Source organism: Homo sapiens, chromosome 13 (assembly GCF_000001405.40).
Source record: "Homo sapiens chromosome 13, GRCh38.p14 Primary Assembly".
In the NCBI taxonomy this organism is placed as follows: Eukaryota; Metazoa; Chordata; class Mammalia; order Primates; family Hominidae; genus Homo; species Homo sapiens.
In genome coordinates, this window is record NC_000013.11 from 109,665,247 (window position 1) to 109,669,020 (window position 3,774).

Consider the following 3,774-nt stretch of genomic DNA (forward strand, 5'->3'; position numbering starts at 1 on the left):
TAGGCCCATGGCAAAGAACCCACAGGCTGGGAGCTTCGCATCAGGCGTCCTTGTTTTTGTTTGAGCCTTTTCTTTCAAATATATGGATAATGACCACGTTTGGGGCTAAACATAAAGCATTCTATTCATTAGGACCATGTCACGGACTTGTGGCATGTGGGAAATATTACCATGGCTACGGAGGAGGTGCGTGTGGATGCTGGCAGCGGGGAGGGAGCCCATGCCTGCCTGGTTGCTGCTAAACAATAAGTCAATCTGTGTTTCACTGGGGTGTTAGTGTTCTGTTCCCTCTCACCTCCTGGAGACCAAGGATGTCTCCCTGACATCAAGCTGAGCAGTGGGAAGCTGAGATATGAGAGAAGAAAGGGCCTCCGGGGGACTGTGTGCAGGTGATGGCCCTGGAGCTTCCATTCAATTATTCCACCAGCATGCACCGAGTGACTGCCATGTGCAAAGCAAGCCAGCAGTAAGCTACATTCTATCAAGGAGACAATATGGAGAAACTCTGCAAGGAGCTTCCACACACCGGATGCCCTTTCATCACTCAAAGACATAGTTTCCATGCCAGTCTTAGGGCAGTAAGTGAAAGGCTACAATTAGAACAGACGAATCCCAAAACGCAGAGCCTCTGCTGTGCGCGAACCATGAGTCAGCACCTCCACGGTGCACTAAGCGTGAGCTGGCACCTCCACGGTGCACTAAGCGTGAGCTGGCACCTCCACGGTGCACTAACCGTGAGCTGGCACCTCCACGGTGCACTAAGCATGAGCTGGCACCTCCACGGTGCACCAACCGTGAGCTGGCACCTCCACGGAGCACTAACCATGTGTAGGCTTTGAACTAGTCTGTTCTGGAACCTTGCTTTGCTCAGGAGGTTTTTTCCTGTTCCTTCCCTGTGTCCAGTCCTCTTGAGAGAGGAAAACCAAACCATGCTGCCGCTATTCCCTTTCTTGATAACAATCTGAAATCATTCTGGCCAAACTGGGATGGGCACAGTGCTTTTCCACATTGACTTTTTTTCTGCTTCCCATGTTTAGGCTCAAATTTCTAAAACGGACCAGAGATGTAAAAGGGATATTCAAGTATAAAGTCCTGTATAAACGTAAGGCATAAATATTATGATCCTCATCACTTTTAGGAGAGTGAGGTAGAATGATGATTTTAAAAATTAGGAACAAAGTTACTTCTTTGATCTCTTTATTAGCCACTTCTAATAATCCCTGTCCCACTCATCCTAAAACCTCCAGCCCCCTCCAGTCTCCCATCCAGCCACACACAGAATTACCACAATCTAAATGCGCCCTTTGAATCAGACAATACTCCTATTGCTATTAATAATAATATATTGGTTAGTCACCATTATAAAGATTTTACAAAATACATTTATGGCATCACCAGCCAACACATAACAGGTTACTTTTATTAAGTTGCATTTGTTATCCCTGATCTTCACAGGATTCTTACAAGACAGGTATTAATATGCCCACTTTTATGGTTGGGGAAGGATGATTCACAGTTACGGAAACTTGCTCATACTCAGGAGGAAGCTAAGCCATCTTTCTGGCCCACTACCATTGTTTGATTTCACAGTGCTGGACAGCTGGTGTCACCCTCAGAGGCCATAGGTAACCACATCCCCAGATCCTTAACAGCCAGGCCCCCCGCCACCACATAACTTTGGGAAACACGGAAGCCCGGAATGCAGCCCCATGGGCTCTAATCCAGGTCAACTGGGTGGGACACCCCGCCCCCGCGTACAGGCACCCCCACCCCGCCCCTGCTACCTCTCTAGGTCTGAAAGCCCCAGCAATAAGTCTCATCGGACCCGAGCTGCGATTATTTATGCCTTCCTTTCATCTTTGCTTCGGTCTCTTGGTCAGGGTGATTTCTTCATCCTTTTTGTAGAAGGCTTCCCTTTGCATTAGCAGCTTTGCTATAGTTCTAGAATAAATGAGCACAGGAAGAAGACGCTGTCATACGGGACCGATCCGTGTCCACATGAAGTCATCAGATCGGTATGGGTGAGTGGCAGGCAAATCCGGTGTGGGGAAGCGGCAAAGCCTGAGGAGCCTGCACTTATCAAAGATTAAACACTTTCAGGTTCTTTAAAGGACAAACTCTGAGTTTTCCCAGCGTAGTATTTGAGCTATTTGAGGGTCTGAAAAGATATCACACAGGTTACCCTGCGTTTTGACAGCCTTTCCTTACTTTAATCCAAGCCTGTGGCAAACTGGTTGTAAACTATTACTGAAGAAATGGCTCTATATTTCTATTCTCTCTCTCTTTCTCCCTCTCTTCCCGTTTGAAATGAAAACACAGTTCTTTCATTAGCTCATTAAAAAATTTACTCCTTTGTGAATATTTTGAAATCACAGAGCAGATATATATTTTATATCAAAGACTCCAGTGAAATATTGATCACCTGTGTGTTTCACTCCCTAAATTCACCATAACTGTGCCTACGTGGCTTGTTTCAAATACACATCTTACCCTCCAGTTTGAAGTTTAAATCATTGTGGTAGGCGTTGTACAGAGGATTGCTTTTTTATTTTCTGTGCTTAAGTGCAGGGCAGCCAAAACAAGAACATAATTATATCGTCAGAGTCGATAAGCGCATCAAGCCTCTATCAGATCTTGCTGGGCTCAGCAACTGCCTCACAGGAAGTGCTGGGGAGCTCTTCCGCCACCAAATCCATTTGGCTCTATTTAGGAACTAAGTACAGGAAGGTAGTTATTGTACAAGATTAGTTTCCTGTAGGCCATAAATTGGCAGTAGCAGAAAAATACAGGATGAATTTATTAGCGTGCAAGGTCAGCTAGAAGGAAGACAAGGCTGAGCGATTGCGCTTGTTTTCTTTCATTTAGCCCACCTCCTGGACCTCAGGGCTGAAAAAGACCCTCTAACTACTTAATTACTTCTTAATAGTTTTAAGCAAATTCAAAAGGCCTGCGCGTTGCTAAGTGCCTGAGGTAAGAGCTGCCTGGGCTAGGTTAGGAATGCCTGTTTGGACTAGAGTTTCTGAAACCTGACTAGGCCCCTTATAATCTGAGGCTTTGTGAGTTTTCTGCGTTTTTTTTTTTTTTTTCCTGCCTTATTTGGTGTTGATTGGCCAAGCATTTACTTTGAAGCTAGAATTTTATACTTGGGAATAAAGGAGTAGCTTCTAATAGTGAAAATATAAAATCCATCAAGTCAAAAATATTGTTTCCAACCAGAGGTATGATAATGTGATAAACATCTCTGTAGATATTTGCTTTAAAGAGAACAAGGACAGATTGCATTTAAAAAAATTTTTTTTAAAGAATACCACTTCAAAAACACTCATTTAAAGGTAGCCCAAAAGGTGGAATGACCTCCTTACACAGACATTTCTACCTTCAAGGAGAAAACCTCGCTCAGTTACCTGAGCCTCTTTACCATGTTAGACACATGTAATTCACATTTTAATTATACTCAGCATCTGCAGTGAGTTATGGGAGACCCCTCCTTCTCCATCCCTGCTTCCACTGGGCCTGCTCACGCTGCCTCTCCTCACAGATACCCTGGTGGAGCATACAGGGCTGGATGCCTGAAAGTAGAAAGGCAGAGTCCTCTCTGTTCCTTCCTAGAAGACAACCCTGTTTTGGAATATGCTTTCCTGATTTCTTAGTAAACTGCAGCACTTTGATGCTGTAAAAAGCCTCATGATCAGCTAGCACCAGCTCCTGTCCTGCCATTTGCAAACAAAGGGCCCAGTTAACCTTCACTGGGTGAGGCCATCCTCCCCTGAGGGC

General features: G+C 44.9%; 1 annotated feature.

Moving 5' to 3' along the window:
• Positions 297-1,496: an enhancer, noted in NCBI's record as "BRD4-independent group 4 enhancer chr13:110317890-110319089 (GRCh37/hg19 assembly coordinates)". NCBI's record gives its function as "activates an origin of replication core promoter dependent on BRD2, P300/CBP, MED14 and CDK7 cofactors, and independent of BRD4, by STARR-seq in HCT116 cells {active_cell/tissue: HCT116}" and the evidence as "EXISTENCE:reporter gene assay evidence [ECO:0000049][PMID:35650434]".